This window comes from Homo sapiens, chromosome 10, assembly GCF_000001405.40.
Source record: "Homo sapiens chromosome 10, GRCh38.p14 Primary Assembly".
NCBI classification, from domain to species: Eukaryota; Metazoa; Chordata; class Mammalia; order Primates; family Hominidae; genus Homo; species Homo sapiens.
Genome location: NC_000010.11, coordinates 90447636 through 90469899, shown reverse-complemented (window position 1 = coordinate 90469899; position 22264 = coordinate 90447636). Strand labels below are relative to the sequence as shown.

General features: G+C 36.0%; 1 long non-coding RNA gene across 1 annotated transcript in view; it reads left to right on the top strand.

The window, feature by feature from the left end:
• The window catches only part of LINC02653 (long intergenic non-protein coding RNA 2653), a 138285-nt gene that overhangs the window by 70906 nt on the left and 45115 nt on the right, over positions 1-22264 (top strand). Inside the window, exon 3 of the long non-coding RNA NR_110657.1 lies at positions 18067-18220. This is a non-coding gene — a long non-coding RNA (long intergenic non-protein coding RNA 2653). The remainder of the gene's footprint in view (positions 1-18066; positions 18221-22264) is intronic.

The following is a 22264-nucleotide window of genomic DNA, read 5'->3' as shown; positions in this document are numbered from 1 at the left end:
ACCCATTAAACAGTAACTCTCAATTTCTCCCTGCCCCCAGTCCCTGGCAACTACTATTCTATTTTCCGTTTCTACGAGTTTGACTATTTTAGGTACCTCCCATAAGTGGAATTATGCACATTTGTCCCTCTGTAACTGCTTATTTCACTTTGCATAATGTCCTCCAGGTTCATCCATGTTGTCGCATATGATAGGATTCCCTTATTTTTTAAGGCTAAATAGTGTTGCTCTATCTATCTATCATTTATCTATCTATCTATCTATCTATCTATCTATCTATCTATCTATCTATCTATCTATCATCTATCATATCCATCTATGTATCTATCTATGTATCTATGTATCTATCTATCTATATATCTATGTATCTATCTATCTATCTATCTAATCTGTCCATTCTTTATTCATCTGTCAATGGACATTTAGGTTGTTTTCATATCTTGGCTATTGTGAATAATGCTGCAGTAAATATGGGAATGCAGGTATCTCTTTGACATACTAACTTCAATTCTTTTGGATATATACTCATAAGCTAGATCATATGGCGGTTCTATTTTCAGTTTTTTCAAGAACCTTCATACTGTTTTCCATAACAGTGTACCACTTTACATTGCTACGAAGAGTGTGAAAAGATTTCCTTTGCTTTACATTCTCACCAACACTTTTTTTTTTTTTTTTTTTTGTAATAGCCATCCTAGCAGAAGTGAGGTGATGTCTCATTCTGGTCTTAATTTGTCTTTTCTTGATTAGTGATGTTGAGCATCTTTTTGTATATTTAGTGACCACTTGTTTGTCTTTAGAGAAAAGGCTATTGAAGTCCTTGGCCTGTTTTTTAATCAGTATATTTTTGGTTTTATCCTCTGCCTATTTTTTAATTGATGAATTATTTTATTTTATTTTTTGATATTCAGTTGTAGGAGTTCCTTATGTATTTTGGTTGTTAAATCCTTTTTAGGTATATAGTTTGCAAATATTTTCTCCCATTATGTAGGTTGCTTTTTCATTCTGTTGATTAATTCTTCTGTGCAGAAGCTTTTTTGTTTAAAATAATCCCATTTGTTTATTTTTACCTTTGTTGTTTGTGCTTTTGGTATCATATCCAAGAGATCATTGCCAAGACTAATGTCATAAAGCATTTTTCCTATTTTTTTCCCCAAAATTTTACAGTTTGAATTATGGATTTATTTAGATCTTTGGTCTGTTTTGAGTTTGTATTTTTATGGTTTAAGATAAGGGTCCAATTTCATCCTTCTGCATATGGATATCCAGTTTTCCCAACACTGTTTGCTGGAGAAACTATCCTTTCACAACTGTATATTATTGATGCCCTTGTTAAAGATGAGTTGACCACATATGTGTGCATTTATTTTGGTGCTCTCTGTTTAGTTCCATATGTCTCAGATTTTGGTTTCTAATATCATTCTCCAAGTAAAAAAAGAGCTCCCTAGAGAAAGGGTTGATTCTAAGACTGGGGCAGAAATTATATAAGATGAGCGCAGAGTATCTAGTAGTGCCACAAAGTAAAGAAATTCCCCAAAAACAAAACAAAACAAAAATCCACACTGATAGATGTATGTCAAATGATATAGATGACAACTGAAAGTTTCCAAAGGCCAAAGATGAAAAACTGTGAGCAAGAAAATAAATAAATATTGGATTATAACTTAAAGTATCAAGTAAGAATCCATGAGTCCATACTAAGATAAGTAAATGATAGAATAAAATAAATTAGAGGAAAATAGAAACATCTCCCATGCAGAAGAATTTCAAATAAATTATATAGATTCTCTGCTTTTAAGGAGATGGTGCATAATTTGCACTCTTTAACTGCTGACTGTACATAGTGATTTCCTCTCAAAGAGTACAGTATGGAAAGGGAGAACACATGAGTAACTATAGTGGAGAAACAAAGCAAACACTACCTCAGCCAGGTGATCAAGTTAACATCAATAGTTATTCATGTTGATAGCATGTGCCATTGATTTACTGTGATAAAAATGTCACTTTGTGATCTTCCTCCCCAAAACTGGTAATCCTATTTGAATAATAAGAGAAATATCAGGCAATTTCAATGAGGGAGTGGGAGGGTAGGGAGACATTCTGCAAGATACCTGACTAGTATTTCTCAAAACTGTCAATGCAATTAAAAACAAAGTGGGGAAAATTGTCACAGCCAAGAGTAAACTAATGAGGATGACAACTAAGTCTAATGTAGTATCCTGAATGGGATCCTGGAATAGGAAGGGGGCATTAGGTAAAAATGAATAAAATCTGAATAAAGTTGTAAATGATTTTAGTTAATAATAAGGTACCAACATTTGTTCATTAATTATAATAAATACACCACACTGTTATATTAAAGTAGAGTTGGACAATAGTTAAAGTGCTAACCCTTGCAATAGGAGAAAGAGCCCTCAGTATAAAACTGGCTTACTCCATGCCATACGACATGGACAAGTGGGGATTCGTAGCCCAGGAGCAGGGTGGCTTACTAAGAGGAGACATCAGCAGTAAGGAGATATTCTCGCTAAACTGATCTTACAGGTTCTTGATGAAAGCATACCAGGGTGATCATTTGCTAAAGGTGGGGGATAAGAAATTTGGCCAGATATTAGGAATGATCAGACATCAAAAGTGGAGGATTCTTTCTAAACTGACTTAACAGGATTCCTGCTAAAACTGGACAATACAGGCCAAACAAGGACAGACATTTAAGTTCAAGGTCAAAGCCTAGTTGAGAAGAGGACTTAGAGGAGCCTGACTGGTTGAGGAGCGAGTTTGCCAGTACTAATATAAGATGTCAATAATGGGGGAAACTGGGAGTATTTGGGGATTCTCTGTATTGTCTTCTCACTTTGTAAATCTGAAACTGTTCTAAAAAAATTAAGTCAATTAAAAATTGCTTAGAAAATGTCAAAATGAGTTTCATCTGTAGGATTTCTCAGAGGTGTATCTGTGCTGAGGCAGTGCTCCACAGCCCTTTCAAGGGAACATGTTTTGGAAATGGATGGCTTTCTGCTTTCTGTTTTCTGCTTTCTGCTTTTCTGCTTTGTTTCTTTTTTTCTCAGTTTAGGATTCCATTAAAGTTAAGTCTGGAACATCTGTGTTCTCAGATAGAAATGACCCATGCAGAGATAACTGGAGAAATAAAAGACATTTTGTATTCTATATTTATGTCAAGAACTCTGCTCTAAACCATTTCCCTTGTTCCGGCACTTCCTCCTTTCCATATAAAAAGTGAAAGATGAAGCAGCTAAAAATAAATGAAATAAAACTAGGCTAAAACAAGTATTTACAGTATAGTCTTGCAGATCTGGCTGGCATACCACCCCAAAGGAAGTGCTTTTGTGAATTAAAAATAGCTAAGGCCGGGCATGGTGGCTCATGCCTGTAATCCCAGTACTTTGGGAGGCCGAGGTGGGTGGATCACAAGGTCAAGAGATCGAGACCACCCTGGCCAACATGGTGAAACCCTGTCTCTACTAATAATACAAAAATTAGCTGGGCATGGTGGCATACGCCTGTAATCCCAGCTACTCGGGAGGCTGAGGCAGGAGAATTGCTTGAACCCGGGAGGCGGAGGTTGCAGTGAGCCGAGATTGCACTGCTGCACTCCAGCCTGGCGACAGAGTGAGACTCTGTCAAAAAAAAAAAAGAACAGTTCAAGCTTTGCGAAAGCAAGTCTGTGGATTGCTCTAGGGAAGAATTCCCAGGAGGAAGGTGTGCTGTAAAGTGGCCAGAGGTGAGGCTGCTGGCCTCATTAGAAAAGTCTGAGTCTTCAAGCTCTCACCCTTCACCCAACCCTTTACCCTGCCACATTGCCAGTATGTTCCCAATGCCGCCTATGTCCAGTAGGAACACTGCAGTCAGTGATGGCAGGTTTGGCTGCTCCCTTCCTAGCAGCTGTGTACCTTGTTAGAGTGCAACTCACTGGCGCATTTGCCTTGTGAAGGTCCCACTAGTGACGCTGAATGAGTAAATGACCTGGGATGAAAGAAACGTTTCTCTGGTTAAAATGAAATTATTACTAGATTAAGCACAGAGTTCATGCACATTCTCATTTCTAGTTTCCCCTTCTAATATGATTTGACCAACATGGCACAAGCTTTGCTATTGTGTCAGGTTTAAAAGATGTCCTGGCTCAGAGGAAAGAGGAGCAAAGTCTGGTAAATAGATTCTGCTTTTCTTTTTTTTTTTTTTTTTTTTTGAGACAGAGTCTCGTTCTGTCGCCCAGGCTGGAGTGCAGTGGTGCGATCTCGGCTCACTGCAAGCTACTCCTCCCAGGTTCACGCCATTCTCCTGCCTCAGCCTCCCAAGTAGCTGGGACTACAGGTGACCCCCACCATGCTCGGCTAATTTTTTGTATTTTTAGTAGAGACGGGGTTTCACCATGTTAGCCAGGATGGTCTCGATCTCCTGACCTCGTGATCCGCCCGCCTCGGCCTCCCAAAGTGCTGGGATTACAGGCATGAGCCATTGCGCCCAGCAGATTCTGCTTTTCTGTGTAGTATGTAAGAAGAGACTATATTTATTGCATGCTTATTATGTTCCAATCACCATATGAAAAGCTTTGCATCATTTCACTCAATTTCACAGCAACTCTATAAGCTAAGCATCATTTCTGTGCCCATTCAATGGATGAGAAGTACTTGATCCAAGTGATACAGCTAAGGAGAATGGAGGCAGAGTTCTAATGCATGCAGTTTGCCTCCGGAGTCACAGAATTACCCACCATTGTACATGTCTTGATACACACAAAATTCGGACCTCAGTTTCCTCTTTTGCAAAACAAAGTCATGATTAAACAATTGAGATCTGGTCCTAGTTATTAATTCCTATGGGAATAGGAAAACATATCCCCAACAGGCATAAAGTTTTGAGGGAAATGAGGGCTAAAACGATTTTTTAAAATCAATGTATTCCTCTTGACATTACGAAAGGTTTTCATTGCTACTGAAAGAATCAACCATCTAACAGATTAAAATGCTATTAGGCATTCAAATAGGCTTTAGAATTGTGCCTTGCCAGGAATATGTTCATCAAGAATTGTGATTCACTGTGAAAATAGAGAAAATAATATACCCTCATTTTCAACAAATGAGTATGATTGGATTGATATAACTGTGTCTAACTAAGCAAGACTGAAAAATGCAGTAGGTAATGTTTCAATCTAGATAATCTCAGAGTGAAGCAGCTTCACATTGTTAAACATAAAATTAATCAGCATACACAAAGGGGGTAACTCTTGTAAGATAAATGACTTAGAGGGATTTGATTACTGCTAGGGAGTAATTGGGTGCATGTAATTAATGGCTGAAGAATAGGAAGAAAACAGGACATTATTTCAAGTTGAAGCTGTGCTCTAGGCAGAATGGGTGTGTATAAGTCAGAAGTCAAGGATATGTAGACATTTTTCAGTGGCACCATATGCAGGGATGCCTTAGAGGGAGGGTTTTTTCTTTTGCTATGAATCGTAAGAAATCACTTAAAGGCTGCTAGTGGGAGTATAAACTGGAGCAGTCATTTTGACTCTTTTATCTTTTGTTCTTCTCTTCCCATTCTCTCCTGGATGCATTCCAATCAGATTTTCTTTATCTTTTTCTTATCAGTGCATCGGGAATATTTGATACAATGGTTCATTCTCTCATTTTTGAACACTTTTACCTGTTGGCTCCTGGCACATACTCTCTTAGTTCTCTGAATTCACTGCTCCTTTTCAGTATCCTTCAGTGATTCTTCCTCATTGCCCTGACCTTGCCAAAATACAGAATCAGTGAGATAATCTCTAACAGTTCTCAACAGAAGGATGTTGTGTGTGTGTGTGCATGTGTCTCAACATTTTTAAATGTTAGGTGAGGATTCTCATAGGCAAAGCATAGTTGAGAGCTAGTCTGTGAGTTTTCCAGGTGGGTAGAGAAGTTTCAAGTACATTATGGGAAGTGGTAGTCATATATCTGATGAGATGGGCCTAGTGATAAACATATTATTGCCAATCTTAGGCCAATGAATTGAGTTCTCAGATCTATTTACTTAATTTGCATTCACTCCAAAAGTGATCTCATCCAGACATATGACTTTATATATTATTTATCTATGCACATATGATTCCAAAATGTATATCTTTAATTCATATGCTTACCTAAATGCTAAAACCTTATATCCATTTGCCTAATCAACTTAGAGAGACTGCACAAATTTATCATGCCCAAAATCAAACTCCTAATTTCCAACTGCCTCCTACCTCCTCCTGTCCTGAACTTTGCATGCCAATAAATCCTTCCTATTGTTCAGTCAGAAACCTTAAAGTCAGCCTCCAGCCTAGTTTTCATCACACTTGACTTCTGAGCAACCATCACACCTTTTCCTTTCTACCTTCATAACGTATCTAGAATTGACCCACTGTCACCATCCCTGCTGCTCCTACCTTAGTCTATGCCACTGTTTTAGTCTGTTCAAGCTGCTACAATACATTACCAAAAACTGCATGGCTTATAAACAACAGAAATTTCTCACAGTTCTGAAGGCTGGGAAGTCCAGGATTCAAGTGTTTTCAGATTCAGTGTCTGGTGAGGAGGGCCTGCTCCCTGCTTGGTAGATGGCGTCTTCTTCTCTGAGTCCTCCGGTGGTGGAAAGGGAAAACAACCTCCCTTGTTCCTCTTTTACAAGGGACAAATCCCCTGTTCATGAGGGCTCCACTCTCACAGCCTAGTTATCTCCCAAAGGCCCCACCTCCTAGTATCATCACATTGGGGGTTAGGTTTGGTTTCAATAAATGAATATTAGGGGGACACAAGCATTCAGATCATAGCAGCCATCATCATTTCTCCCCTAGATTACAACAGCCTCCTCTCTGTTCCTCCTGTGTCTTCATTGTAATCTATTACTAACATAACAGCCTGAGTCAGATCATACTATTTCTTTGCTCAAGAGCCTTCAATGTTCTCACTAGTTATTCACAGTAAAACACAAATTTTCTCCTGTAATTTACAAGGTCTTGCATCATCTAGGCCTTGTTTCAGCTCTAAACTCCTCTCTTAGCCTTTCTTTCTTGCTTACTCTGCTCCAGCTACATGAGCTTCTTTGCTCTGTCTCAACACATCAGCCATATTCCCCCCTCAGAGCCTCTGCATTTTCCTTTGCTTTTGTCTACAATGATATTTCCCCAGATATCTGCAAGGCTTGTCGTCATACCTACTAATGCATTATCTTAATAGTGACTACCCTATAAAAAATAGAGACAGTCCTCCTTCCATCCCTCTTTCTCTGCTTCATTTCTCCTTAGCATTTATTACTATCTAACATATTTCACATTTACTTGCATATTAGTTGTCTGAATTCCCCTACTAGGATGTAAGCTCCATGTAAGCTCCAATTTAGCAACTATGTGAATTCCCAGGTTGCTTAGCCACTCTTAAGTCTCAGTTTTCTCATCTATAGAATATCATCAAGATTACATCAGTGGCTGGAGAATATTAAATGACATAGTACATATAAAGTCCTTAGCACAGCACCTGGAATACTGTGTGCACTCAATAATTAGCCATGGTTTCAGGCCACTCACATAACCAGTGGATAGTCATGTCCCAACAACCTAGTAAAATCTACAGAAGGGTCCTGGTGATGTAGGTGATTTGCTTTGTACAATAATGGTTAATTCTGGGTGAAAACCACCTTAAATTTCATGTTCTCCTGGAACTGGATCAGTAGCTTATTCTCCCTAAATAAGATAGTATATTTGAAGACTTTAATAAGGAATGAACTACAACCACATCTGTATTAGCCTTTGGGCTAGAGCTAAGGTTTAAGCTGTAAAAAGTACTCCTAAGTCACCTCCCACAGGCGTCTGGTTTTGGGAACTCATTGTATTTGAGGGAACAAAAATTTCCAATTTGAAGTCTGGCTTTGTGGGCCAGAGACTTGTCACAGCCAACCTCTTTGATTGATTGCTAATGGTTTGCATATCCTGTTTGACTAAATGAGTGTATTTCAGTACAATTGGCTGGAGCCTGAGACGTTTGTGTGGAAGGAGGCGGATGATATATTTGTCTTTTTTTTTTTTTCATTGTTTCAGTGACATAGTTTCCTTTGTTTCAGTGAACCTCTTTATTTTGTCACTCCGAATTTTCCCACTTAGAATAATTTTGATCTATTTAATTATTTGCTCAGGCTACATTCCCAGCAGAGTTGTGGCCCTTCTTTCTATGCCTTGATCCTTGAAACATGTATCAATAGCATATTGGCAACTCAGACCTTAGTACTCTTCTACCTTCCTGTGGCCTTAAATATTCAGTAGAAGAAACATTTTCTTGTTTAGTCAGCTGGCCTAAGGAAATTTCTCATGTTTTCTTTGGAAACAAGTTAAATCAAGCTCAATCAATGTTACTGGAATATCCATTTAGGGATATTAGATCCAAAAGCATGGCTAGGGGTATCAGGAGGCTCCCTGGGGTGCTGAGGAAGAGGCTGGTCTGCGTACAAGGCGTTTCAAGCTGTGTGCCTTTATTTTTTAAAAAACCTCTTCTATCTCTTTCTACTATTTCCACTGGATATAATTCTGCCCATTATTCAAGGCTCACAGTCAACACTAATCATTTTCTCGATTTTCCTTTAATGAACTTTTCTCATTGTGCTGAGTTTCATACAGTTTCTGTCTAACTGTCATCAACCCTGTAAGGAGAGTTTGTGTTGCTTTTCTGTCTTAAAGGCCCTTTTGAAAGGTACTATGTCAAATTCATCTTTGCACACAATTCCAACTGTGGAAATTCTTATTTAATCATGTATTTACTTTCAGTTGGTTGACCTCACAGGTTTCAACTGTGGGCTCTAAATTTAAAAGGAGTTTCCTTTGGTCTGAGCTAACTGGATTCTTACAATATGAGAAAAAATAGCTACTACTATTTTCAGTTGACTTTTCAGTTACTTTTGGTTGCTTAGAAGTTCTGGAACTGTTTTGTGCCTTCCTCATTCTTCTTTGTTCTAATATTTTCTTTATAAGTTTCCAAAGATGGGTAAAGAATCTTGTCACAGATGCCCAAAGATCTCTTTTCTTGCTTATCCTTTAGTTTTCTGGTTGAGAATCCTTTTATCTCAAGGACCAAGGAAGAAATGCCAACCTCTCAGATCATATCCTGGAAGATGAAAGAACCAACTTTAATGCTCATTATTTTTAAATATGCTTTACAATTTCCAATATGGGGTCTAATTTTAATCTAATTCTACATTGTTTATTTTTCTTGCAAATTTTAATTTTTATTTGATATTAAATTCATATTGTTCATCATATATATAACAAAATAATTGACTATTGGTCAATAATTTCTGAATTCATTACAATTTAAAGTGACACCAAAAATTACTGAGGAAGAGTGATGTTTCAGTTATTGAATAGGTTTTATAACATAACAGCTGTTACACATTTGGAGATATAAAGATGCTGAAAACCTGAAATGTTCTGCTTAAAAATATGCTTTCTAATGTCCTTAATTAGGTCTTTGACAGTTTATATGTATAGTCATCCAGTGTTTCTGAGACAAAAAAAAGCATTTTTTTTTTCTGCTTTCTTTTTACTTCTGGATGCTGTTTCAAGTATGGTGGCATAAAAATATAGAAAAAACATCACCTTCTCTATGGCGTTTGTCTGCTGTCAGAAACTATAACATGTAAGTGATAAAGTGAACATTATAAATAATTGTTTTGAGTACTTTTTCAGACAAATAACCCCCTCAGTAGTACAATATATATTTTCCTTCCTATACTTCCTATACTTTCCCTGTTCTTCAGAATACAGTTTCTCTTCTACTATCTTTGTGGACTTTTCCACCCTTTCCCTATTTATTTCTCTTTTTTGCACCATTAGATATATTCCTGGTTAGTGTTCTCAATTCTTTTTTATTTATTTTTTAAAATCAAAAACTCATTAATTTATTCTTCCTCCATGCTAGTTACTCCAATCTGGCATCAGCTTCAATATCTTCTCTTGTCATCAAATCACAGAGCACAGAGCCTTAGAAATCATTCAATCCAACCATGACTTCATTTTACATATCTTTCAATACTGTTAAGGTTCACTCTCCTCTTCAGCCTTCTCCTTCAAGAGACACAGCTTTCTACCCATGGACATCTCTAGTTTCCCATAAATTCTTTCCCGTGTTGAGTCCAAGTCTTTTTACCTGCCAGTTATAGCCAACCCTCCTAATCTGGCCATCTGCAGCCACATGGAGCCAGTCTAATTCCTCTGCCATAAAGCTTAAGATTTTTGCTATATCAAACCTTTCTTAAATCTTCTCTAGGCTTTATACCTCTAGTGTCTCTAAATTGTTTTCATAACTTAGTTTTGAAATCCGTTATCACCTGGTTATCATTTTGCCAATATCCCTCTATCTGGGTTTCAACATTCTAGGTGTCACTGAATGTGCAAAGCCTCATAGAATTATTGATTCCCTTGATCTGAAGTTCCTTAACCTTTCTTTGGCCTAGGATTGCATTGAATTTTTTAATCAGTTGTGTCATATTTTGTCTCATAGCAAGTTTTGTGTTCATTGAAACTACTAGGTCTTTTCCTCAATAATTACTTTTAAAGTATGGCTTTCCTCACTCCATTCCATTTGAGCAATTTAATTTTTAAAACAGAGTTAAGGACTTTTTATTGAGGTCATTGTGAAATCATTTGTCATCTAATAGCAATTTTCAGCCTTTTATTTTGAAACAGTTAACAAGGAAGATACACTTTTACGTACAAGTGCCTACTCTAATTTTAACTCAGCCTCCTGATGTTCCAATCAAAAAACTGAAATGCAAATGAATGAGAATATTATTTGTTAATTTAAGGGAGACATAAAATTTCAGACTCTTTTGTTTAAATAAAAAAACTTGATAGAGCCATTTTATCTTCTTGCAACTGTGGGAAGAAAGATGTGCCTAGGATCTTATTCTCATTCAATAATAAAGATTAATAAATATTTATGCTTTCCAGAAAATAAAACATCAATGTTATTATTAGGATAAGACAATACATCATTGGTTTATAGAAACAGGCTGGATATCTTCATTTGCTCCACCAGGTCTACTCTTCAGCATTCTCTAACCCAATATGTGTGCCCCAGGGAAGCTAACCTGTGTGAACCACATCAAAGGCAGTTTGTCCTCTGGCTTCTGGTTAGGTTCAAAAGGTGGAAATCACCAGCAAGAGATTGGTGCTCCACAGGAATAAGAGTGAGGACGGGGTAGTATTTCTTCTGGCTCCCTCTCTTTATTGTCCCCAAAGCCTGGTTATGTCCCTCTACTAAAGGTCATAGCTATCTCTCTCCCCAGATTGTAGCAATAACTCTCTCTCCAACCCCTCCATGCTTCTCACCATTACTCACCATTACTTGCACTACTCCATCTCACTTGGATTTTTTTTTATCCTTGCTTACACTTTTGTAAAAGTCTGTTAAATTCTCTGTCCTCTTCTCCTTTCTTATGCCATCCATTTCCTGCCTGACCCTAAATGGCATGGTAATCCAACAGGATTATAGATTTTTAGAGTTGAAGATAACTTTCATGAGACATAGCTACTGTGCAGATTATTTACAATTGGCATGACTCTACTAATATTTGTCATGGGATGATTCAGGCCTCCCAGCTTTTTCTCTGTTCAAACTGTTGGAAACCTGTCATCCATCAGCAAGAGCCAACCTCATTTGGCCTTCACTTGGTGTGTACTTGGTTGTAAAACTAATGCAAATATGAATACTGGAATCACCTGTCAGTAATCAACTGCGAGGTGCTCATCCAGCTAAACCTCAGGCTGTGCATTTACCAAAATGAGGGGGAAAAAAAACCTAGACTTGCAGACCCTTGAGAAAAAGACAATTGACCTTGGAGGTCCATGGATGCCTGATTTGAGGCACACTGGCATAGCGAATAAGCACATGAACTTTGAAAACTTGTCAATGGTAAAATCTTAACTTGGTTACCTCTAACAATGTGATTTCAGGTGACTTGTTTGATGTCTCTGAACTTCAGGTTTCTTATCTGTATAAGTGAGACAATAGCAGTATCCACTTTATTGCTTGGTGGGTCAAATAATATTTTATATTTAAAAATCTCTGCTGTTTTGAAATCAGTCAACAATTATTTATTAAAACAAAAAAAAATATTTTGATAGTAAGATGAAGTCAACCATTCATTCACATGTCAAAAACAGACAAGGGTCTTTAGTTTCCTCACTAATAGAAATGAAAGAGTTAGAAAAGAGGTGGAAGTGAGACTCTGGGATTGTTTACCAAATTTTAAAAATAGTAACCTGCTTAGATGGGACACAAGGTCCTGTGACCTACCTATCCCATTTGCTCCCAGTCTTCCATGGAAAAAGAACCTAGTGATTACAAAAAGATTTAGAGAGAACATCTAACCATTAAAGAACCAGTGATCAATATTTTTTTAAAATAAAACTTGTAACAACTATTCTCCTAATCTATTCATTAATGCAAGGAGAGCAACAATTGAAAACCATATCCATCCTAACTCACTATGATTTATTACATGTTAACAGTAGTAACTCCCCCTAAAAATTTCAGGAATTTCAAAACCTGCACGTACAGACTTATCAAGCAGGTAGCAGATTAATTGTTCAAAAGAAGACTCAGTAAATCCTAATAGTGCTCTAATTTTAGTTTACAAATATCCAATTTGCAAATCAATGTTCACTAAACTTAATTTGTTACTAGTAAGTATATGGATGTGCCCATTATTCTAGAGTAAGAACTAGAATATTTATTCATTGTGTGGCCAACGTGGGTGATTCTTTTAGCATGCTAGTGAGATATGAATCAAGCTTTTGACGTTATTGCTCTGAGGCTGCTTTCAGCGCTAACATTCTATGAAATTATGTAAGGTATTTTATTGCTTCCTTTATTCATTGAGAGTAGCCCCTCCTGTATTAATTTTCTGGGACTGCCATAGCAAAGTGCCACAAACTGGGTGGCTTATAATAACAAAAAAAATTATTGTTTCATGATTCTGTGGGCTAGAAGTCCAAAATCGAGTTGTCGACAAGGTTGGTTCCTTCTGGGGCTGTGAAGGAGAATCTGCCCTACACTTCTTGTGCAGGCCAGGGCAACCCTAAACTCATCTTGGGTGCCAATCTGCCATGTTGGCTTCTAATTAACCCCTATTCCAGAATTGCCTCTGAGATTTCCAGTTTATCTATATTCCCTTGTGTAAGAGCATGTATTTACTGTAAATCTTGCCCTTAAGTCAAACAATTTTGATGTTATCAGATTTCTACTGTCCTACGTATTCCTTCTGAATTACCCCTCCCTTATGATTTATAAACCCTGATCCACCATCTTGTCTCATACTACCCAAGACACAGGCATGACTTCTGTTTGTAAGACCCCACTGAATATTTCTTTCTACAGAACAAGACAAGGATGCCCTCTGTTACTACTCCTATTCAACATAGTGCTGGAAGTCCTAGCCAGAGCAACCAGGCAAGAGAAAGAAATAAAAGGTATCTGAATAGGAAGAGAGGAAATCAAACTCTATTTGCAGACTATATGCTTATATACTTAGAAAACCCCATAGTCTTTACCCAAATCTGATAAACAACTTCAGCAAAGTTTCAAGATACAAAATCAGTGTATAAAAATCAGTAGCATTTCAATACACCAACAATATCCAAGCTGAGAGCCAAATCCAGAATGCACTCTGGCTCACAATAACCACAAAAAGAATAAAAATACCTAGGAATAGCTAACCAGTAAGGTAAAAGATCTCTACAATAAGAATTACAGAATACTGCTGCAAGAAATCAGAGATGACACAAACAAATGGAAAAGTATTTCATGGTCATGGATAAGAAGAATCAATATTGTTAAAATGGCCATACTGACCAAAGCAAATTACAGATTCAATGCTATTCCTATCAAACTACCAACGACGTTCTTCGCAGAATTAGGAAAAAACTATTTTAAAATTTACATGGCACCAAAAAAGAACCCAAATCACAAAACATGAGGTATCACATTACCTCACTTCAAACTATACTTCAAGGTTACAGTAACCATAACAGTATGGTACTGGTACAAAAACAGACACATAGATCATGGAACAAAAATGGATCATGTAGGCCGTATGGCTACAACTATCTAATCTTCAATGAAGCCAACAATTATAAGCAATGGAGAAAGGACTCCCTAGTATATAAATGGAGCTGGGAGAACTGGCTAGCCATATGCAGAAGATTGAAATTGGACCCTTTCCTTAAACAGTATACAAAAATCAACTCAAGATGGAGTAAAAACTTATATGTAAAACCTAAAATTATAAAACCCTGGAAGATAACCTAGGAAACATCATTCTGGACATAGGCCCTGGCAAAGATTTCATGATAAAGTTGCCAAAATCATTTGCATCAAACCCCAAAATTGACAAATGTGATCTAATTAAACTAAAGAGCTTCTGCATAGCAAAAGAAACTATCAACAGAGTAAATAGACAACCTACAGAATGGGAAAAATATTTGCTAATTATGCATCTGACAAAGGTCTAACATCTGAAACTTCAACAGATTAACAAGCAAAAACCAAACAATCCCATTAAAAAATGGACAAAGGACATGAACAGACACTTTTCAAAAGAAGACATACGCAAAGCCAACAAGCATATGAAAAAATGCTCACCATCTCTAATCATTAGAGAAATGCACATCAAAACCATAATAAGATCCATCTCACATCAGTCAGAATGGTTATTACTAAAGAGTCAAAAAATAACACTTATTGGTGAGGTTGCAGAGAAAAGGGAATGCTTATACACTGCTGGTGGGAATGTAGCAGTGTGGCAATTTCTCAAAGAGCTAAAAACAGAACTACCGTTTGACCTAGCAATCCCATTACTGGGTATATAACCAAAGGAATATAAATTATTGTACCATAAAGACACATGCACATGCATGTTCATCACAGTACTATTCACAGTAGCAAAGACATGGAATCAACCTAAATGTCCTTCAATGATAGACTGGATAAAGAAAATGTGTTACATATACACCATGGAATATATGCAGCCATATAAAAGAGCAAGATCATACCTTTGTCAGAACGTGGATAGAGCTGGAGGCCACTATCCTAAATGAGCTAAACGAAAGAGAAAACCAAATACTACATGTTCTCACCTATAAGTGGCAGCTAAACATTGAATGCACATGAACACAAAGAAGGGAACAACAGATGCCAGGGCCTACTTGAGGGTGGAGAGTGGGAGGAGAGTGAGGATCTAAAAACTACCTATGCTTATGACCTGTGTGATGAAATAGCATGCACACCAAACCCCCATGACATGACATGTAATTTGCCTATATAATAAACCTGCACATGTAGCCCTGAGCCTAAAAGTTTAAAATAAGAAAATATTTAAAACAATATATATGTATATATATAACAAATGAATAAATGTTTCTTTCTGAGAAAGTAGCTGTGTCAGCCTTTCTCTTCAGCCTCTCAGCTTTCTCGGTCTTTGGTATAGGTTTGCATAGGCCTTCCCACTGTGAAACACCTCTCTCCTAGCTTGTGGTAGTTTTCCAGCAATCATTGGCATACCTTGGCTTGTAGATGCATTACTCCAATCCTCCACCTTCATGTGGCATTCTCCCGTTGTCTCTTGACATCATCTTCTCTCTGTACCTGTCTGTCCCTGTGACTGAATTTCTCCTTTTGATAAGGATCTCAGCCATATTGGATTAGTCCTCACTCTAATGACTTCATGTTAACTTGATAACCTCCATAAAGACTTTGTTTACAAATAATATCACATTTGGAGGTACTGAGTATTAGGACTGTAATATATCATTTTATGAGATACAATTCAACCCATAAAACTTCTAAAACAAAAACTTTTTAATGAGAGACAAACAGGTTATTTTGGCCTAGCATTTAAGTTGCTTTAGACAACTTCCTTGAATCGTGAGCAAAATATTTATGTAAGCCAAGGGACAAGCTGTGATGATGGGAATAGAGTACATTCTCCCGCATAAAATCAAAGTCTACTTCAGAATTATCTCCTGAACTTCAGAGTACGTCATCATTTGAAGAAAGGTTTCAGAGTACTCCCCAAAGAAAACGTTCTTTAGAAAGCAATCCTGCTGTTGCAGACTGTCCCTTTCTTTATGTGATGGACATGAGAATGCATAAGGCGAACCTCCAAATTCGGGGAACCTAAGCGACTAGAGATCAACTTCTGCATCTGAGTCCATCATGCATTTGCCCTTGCTTCCCATATGTGCGTCTCAGCCAACCACTGAGCCAGGCAGCAATACTAATATAGTTCCATTCCTGAGGGTTCACAAGCCTCCTCTCGGCTGAATTTTAGCTGAGTATTCCCCAATGGCTTTGACAAACGTTTCTTAGATGCATGATAATTTAGGACACTTCTACCCGACTTCCTTCCCTCTCTCTCCTTCACTTAAAGCCAAGCTTGCATCGTGGTTTGATGCCCTTTCCAGCCCTTCCTGGCTCCTTTCCATTTTTTTCTCACAAGCATTTCTCCTAATAAACACCATTTCATCATTAATCCTGTCTTGGCACCTGCTTCCAGGAGGTTCTGACTTTATACAACACAATTCCAGGAAGCAGAGCCCTTGTATCTTTTGCTAATGCCTTTAGGGCTGTGCCCCTTTTTATGTCTCCCCTTTGTATCTAAATTCAAGAAAATTGTACACCAGCATCACAGTAGATAGTCTTGAAATAGTATTAAGAGCTAATCAAACTAAAGTGTATATGTGTCATTCTTATATAATCTTTAATTTTCTTTAAGAGCTTATTCTAGCCAGGTGCAGTGGCTCAAGTGTGTAATCTCAGCACTTTGGGAGGCCAAGGTGGGTGGACCACTTGAGGTTAGGTGTTCAAGACCAGCCTGGCCAACATGGCGAAACCCCATTTCTACTAAAAATAGAACAATTAGCCAGATGTGGTGGTGGGCACTTGTTATCCCAGGTACTTGGGAGGCTGAGGCAGAAGAATTGCTTGAACCTGGGAGGTGGAGGTAGCAGTGAGCCAAGATCACTCAACTGCCCTCCAGCCTGGGTGACAGAGCGAGACTCTGTCTCAAAAAAAGAAGAAAAAAAAGCTTATTCTGACTTTATTTTTGGACTATAATTTGAATTATTTTAAAATTGTACATAAATGTATCAGAATATATACATGTTTATATATAATTTATAATATATAAAAATATTTCTATATATGTATATACACATACACATACACATCCCTTTTGCTTGAATTGTGAAACGCTGCCCCCCAGTAGCTTTTAACTAAAGCTTTATGACAGGTAAAAGATGTTTTTGTTTAACTATGTAATCACTATCAAAAGCAATGCCACACATTTTTAAATCACATTTAAAAAATTCTATTAACTGATGCTGAAACAAGAAACTCAGATAATGCAAAATATAATATCAAAATTTATTAAATTATACAAAAAGTATTTAAAAAGTGATAATGAAAAAAATAATATAGCATTGCAAATACAGATGGATAAAAACCCATCAAAAACTTGCTGTCTATTGTATATCACAAGGGTGATGAGGTCTGGTCTCATTTTTTTGACTTCAGTTCTTTAATTAATTTACCCTAATGATTTTCTGGGCCACTTTTCTGCTTTTTCACTTCAATCCAATTTAGAATCTGTTTTCAGTCTTTGCAGTGATATGGTCTTGAACTTGTTTGATATGACTTTGTCATAGTTGTTATCAATTTGATTTTGTCAGCTTTTTATCTTTTAAAGACTTCATAATTTCTGTGTTCCTGTCCTGTTATGCTTTATCAGTATCTATATCATCTATATATTTATCTATATCATCTATATCTGAATAGATATGTATGCATGTTTGCATATATACCTTTTCTCTCACTTTAAGGGATTTGATGCAGAAGGAATATTGGAGCAAATGCTCAGTCCACAATCTTGATTTAGTCTTGACAGTATTTTTTTATTTGAAGACACTGGGTTATCTAGAATATGCTAGATTTTTTGTTGGAAATCTAACAACATTCCTCCCATTTCTCTTTTCTTGTATTTTAGAGGGTGAAAACCCAGGGTATTATATCCTTAGAATTTATTTCTACCAGAAAGTTGCCACTTTATATATTCTGCCAACAAGCTTGCTTGCAAGAGGAGAAGCCACTATTATTCCCGAGTCAGTGGCATGAACACGTGGACTGCAGAGATAACTGAGGTAAGATTTGATGAATGACTTCCTTGTGTCATTATATTCTGAAGTGGCAGTTTCCTGTGATTCTTATTCATACTGATTTTTTGAACACTAGCAATGACTTCCCTGATCCTTGCTTTATCACTCATCCCAAAGGTTTGGTAACTTTCCAATCTCTGTATTACATCCCTTTCAGTTTGAAATCTCAAGCATATTCTGTTTTTCTAACCAACCTCTGACTGATATGCAGAATTTCAACAGCTGCCCAAGGTCTCACAGTTAATCAGATTTGAATCCAGATCTGTCCAGCTTTTGACTATATGAATTCTTGAGTTCTGTATCTTTCTTCAGACGATTGTGGGTTGCTTTACATTCCTAAATGGAGAATAGCATGTTTGGAGTTCTGTAGGGGGAAAAGATTATACCTCTATATCTAAATCTAATCTATGTAGTACTTATATCACTTTGTGTTTCCTTAGACTGATTTGGAGAAGTCTGAGGCAAATTAAAATATATAGCTACAAGGAAACCAGAAAGAACTATCTGAAGATTTGAACTACTCCTTTTGTTATTTTTCATAGCCATGGGTTAAAGAGGGAGGATAGTAGAGATTAGCAAGAGGGAAAACAAGAGATTTGTGATTTGGAGTGACACAACTACTGATCCAGTTATAACCACCCATCCCTGCATTTGTATGTTTGGATGAGTATTTTTAAAATATTAAATTCTAGTCATTGTCAATATTTGTAGTATAATGTAAATATTATCCAGAAGGGGCTGATTTATGTAAAATATTTAGTTTGACTCAGGAAGAATAAATAACAGATCACATTGTTGTTGCTACCATTCATCTTATAAAAGTTAACAATTAAATTTAGAAACATGCTTATTTATACATTATTGACATTTCAGACACAATTGATTTTATTTGCTTATAAATAACTAGCTCTGCAACAATGTTTTACTTTTCCATTCATCAGCTTGTTTTTAAAATGTTTTGAAAGGACAGAGAGTGAAAGTTGGATTAACAATGAAGCAATTAATTTAATTGCAAAAGAAATGACTAGGCAAAATATATAGTGTAAAGGAAGGAATCTAGATAAGTACTTGTGTTGCTATGGGGACTGGATTTATAGATGACCTTAAAAAGAGAATTAATTTCCTTGGATGTTTCTCTTGTGCAGTTTTACTCTCAGATTGTAAATGGTCAAATGTTCCATGTTTGACAACAAATAACTGATTGAAAATTGTTATTCTTCTATTTATAACTGTCTTCATTGATGTATCAGATAAATCACACAAGTGACTCCATCAATACCCAAAATAAGCCAATCAATATAAATTGTTTGTGTGTGTGTGTGTGTGTGTGTCTGTTACATTTAAAAATTGTTCAAACAAATTGCAAGGTTCAATTTCCTCTAGTGACAGGCCAGGTGTTTAGCTTAGCCTGCCATTTCCTCCCCACCACCATACCAAAAATAATTTTTTTTTACACCGAAAAGATAAGTTGCTGAAGACATTTAAAAATATATATTGTTAAAATTATCAAAAAGCTGGTAAAATAGCAAAGAATTATCTGGTTAAAAACTGAAGGAAGAGTGAAAACCCAGAAAAGTAAACTGACCATCAGAATTGCTCTTGCCTGGAGGTAATTTGCCAACCTGAATTTTGATGTAAACAGCCACAAGAGGTTAAGGAAACAAAAATAAAATTCTAGAACCCAGATATGAAGTCTAATAGAACACTCTCCCTGCATTAAGCTGGGATCCCCAAATAGCTCAATATACACAGAACAAGAGTGACCTGGATGTAAGGCTGACTTTCACCCAACTCTGAGTCCTAAAAGGCTTGCCTTGCAATTGAGCAGGGGAGGGAGAAAAATTGAGACCTGCCCTTGTCTAGATTTTTCAGGCAAGGCCAAATTCCAATATTAAAATTACTAAACATCTATTACAAAACACTTATATTTCTAAACAAATAAAAGAACGTCTTGAAAACATCTAGAGGGAAAAGGAAAAAATAAAAAGTAACCAAATTGATTTCAAACAACCAACTAGATATTCTATAAATTAAAATTACATTAAACAGAATTAAAAACTCAAAGAGTAGACTTAACAGTAACTTAGGCACAACCTGAAATAAAATGTGTAAACTTGAAGATAGATGAGGGGAAATTACTGGAAATGCAACACAGACAAAAAGATTAAAGTATGGAGACGAGTTTACAAAGCATGGATGACAAAGTAAGAAATTCTAACACATTTAATTGAATTTCCAAAAGGCAATAATAGAGAGAAAAAGTCATTGGAATTTCCTTTTTGCATTCAAATTTATAGTGTGGTTATTTATAATTTTTCTGCCATTATAAAGAGACATGAACTATGTAATCTGTGCATATATATCTGACAACATCGCAATATGATTTATTTTTAACATTTACAGTGTACCATATCATTGCTGTATTACAATATCACACATGTAAACAAAAGCTAAACCTATTTTAAAATATTGGTTATATGAAAATGAACATTATTTAATAAATTGTAACAATTGAATTTAATGTTTAAGACATTGAATTATAATTACCAAATTATAGCTTACCAAAATGTACCAGCTCAAAAGAAGCACTACACCTATTTCACATGATGCTTTTTTTGAATTAAAACATTCTTCCTATTAAAAAGAGAAAACAAATAATATGTTAACTGTGCTTGAATATATAATCAGCCTTCCAATTTATTGATCTACTGAATTGACAAACATCACATTTATTTTTATAAATCGGTATTTAAAGACAACTAAATTTAAAAAATAATTGATGGTGGATATCTAGGATAATGGACAATTTTCTTTGCTTCAATAATTTTCTTTGCTTCAAAAAAAGGACTGGCAATTTTATGCAAAATGAGGTAGAAGAGATATTCTAATTTTATGTCAATAGATTGAATATAAGTAATAGAATCTTAAGACATCCTAGTGTTTTGAAAAATGATTGTTCATGAGAAATCTCTTGTCTGGTATGCAGAATATCTGGACTGTGTCAAACTCTCAGAAAATAATTGCTTCCAAAATGCCTGAAAGGTTTTCATTGATCATTTAACTTTCTGAGGATGGGTAATTTAGTAAAACCAAATAATTCCATAATTTACCTTTCCCCAACTTTATTTATCTTCTGCGACTGGTTCTGTTTTTTGCTATTAAAAAGGTCTTTGAGTATAATTGACATACAATAACGAATTTTGACACATGTACATACCCATAAAGCTATCACTACAATCAAGATATCAAACATTGCCAAAACCCCAAAAGTTTTCTCATGCCTCTTGTAATCTAGTCCTCCCTCTTCCTCTATTTGCAATCAACCACTTATCTGATTTCTGTCACTATTGATTCATTTGTTTTTTCTACAACTTTATAAAAATGGAATCATACAGTATGTAGGTTTTTTTTTTTTTTCAATCTGGCTTATTTCATTCTGTGTCATGATTCTGAGATTCATCAATATCGCTGTTTGGATAAGTAGTTCATCATTTTTATTACTGAGTAATATCCTGTTGCATTGATATGCCCCAATTTGTTTCTTTATTCACCTATGGACAGACATTTGGATTGTTTCCAGTTTTTCACTGTTACAAATAAAGCTTCTAAGAATATCCGCACAAGTATTTATGGACATATGCTTTCATTTATTTTGGGTAAATGCCAAGAAGTGGAGTGTCTGTACCATATGGAAGGTTTTATTTAATTAAAAAAAACTGCCAAGCTGTTTTCCGATGTGTTCCTAATATTTTATATTCTTTCCAACTGAGTATGAGGGTTCTAGTTACTCTGTATACTCACTAGTACTGTATGTGGTTAGTTTCTTAATTTTAGTCATTTTGATGAGTGTGTAGTTGTATTTAATTGTGTTTTAATTTTAATTTTCCTGATGACTAATGATGACTTTTCATATACACATTGAGTATTCATATATCTTCATTTGTGAAGTGTCTACTCAAATCATGTGTTCATTTTTTATTGGATTGTTGTATTACATACTTAATAGTTCTTAATATATTCTGCATACAT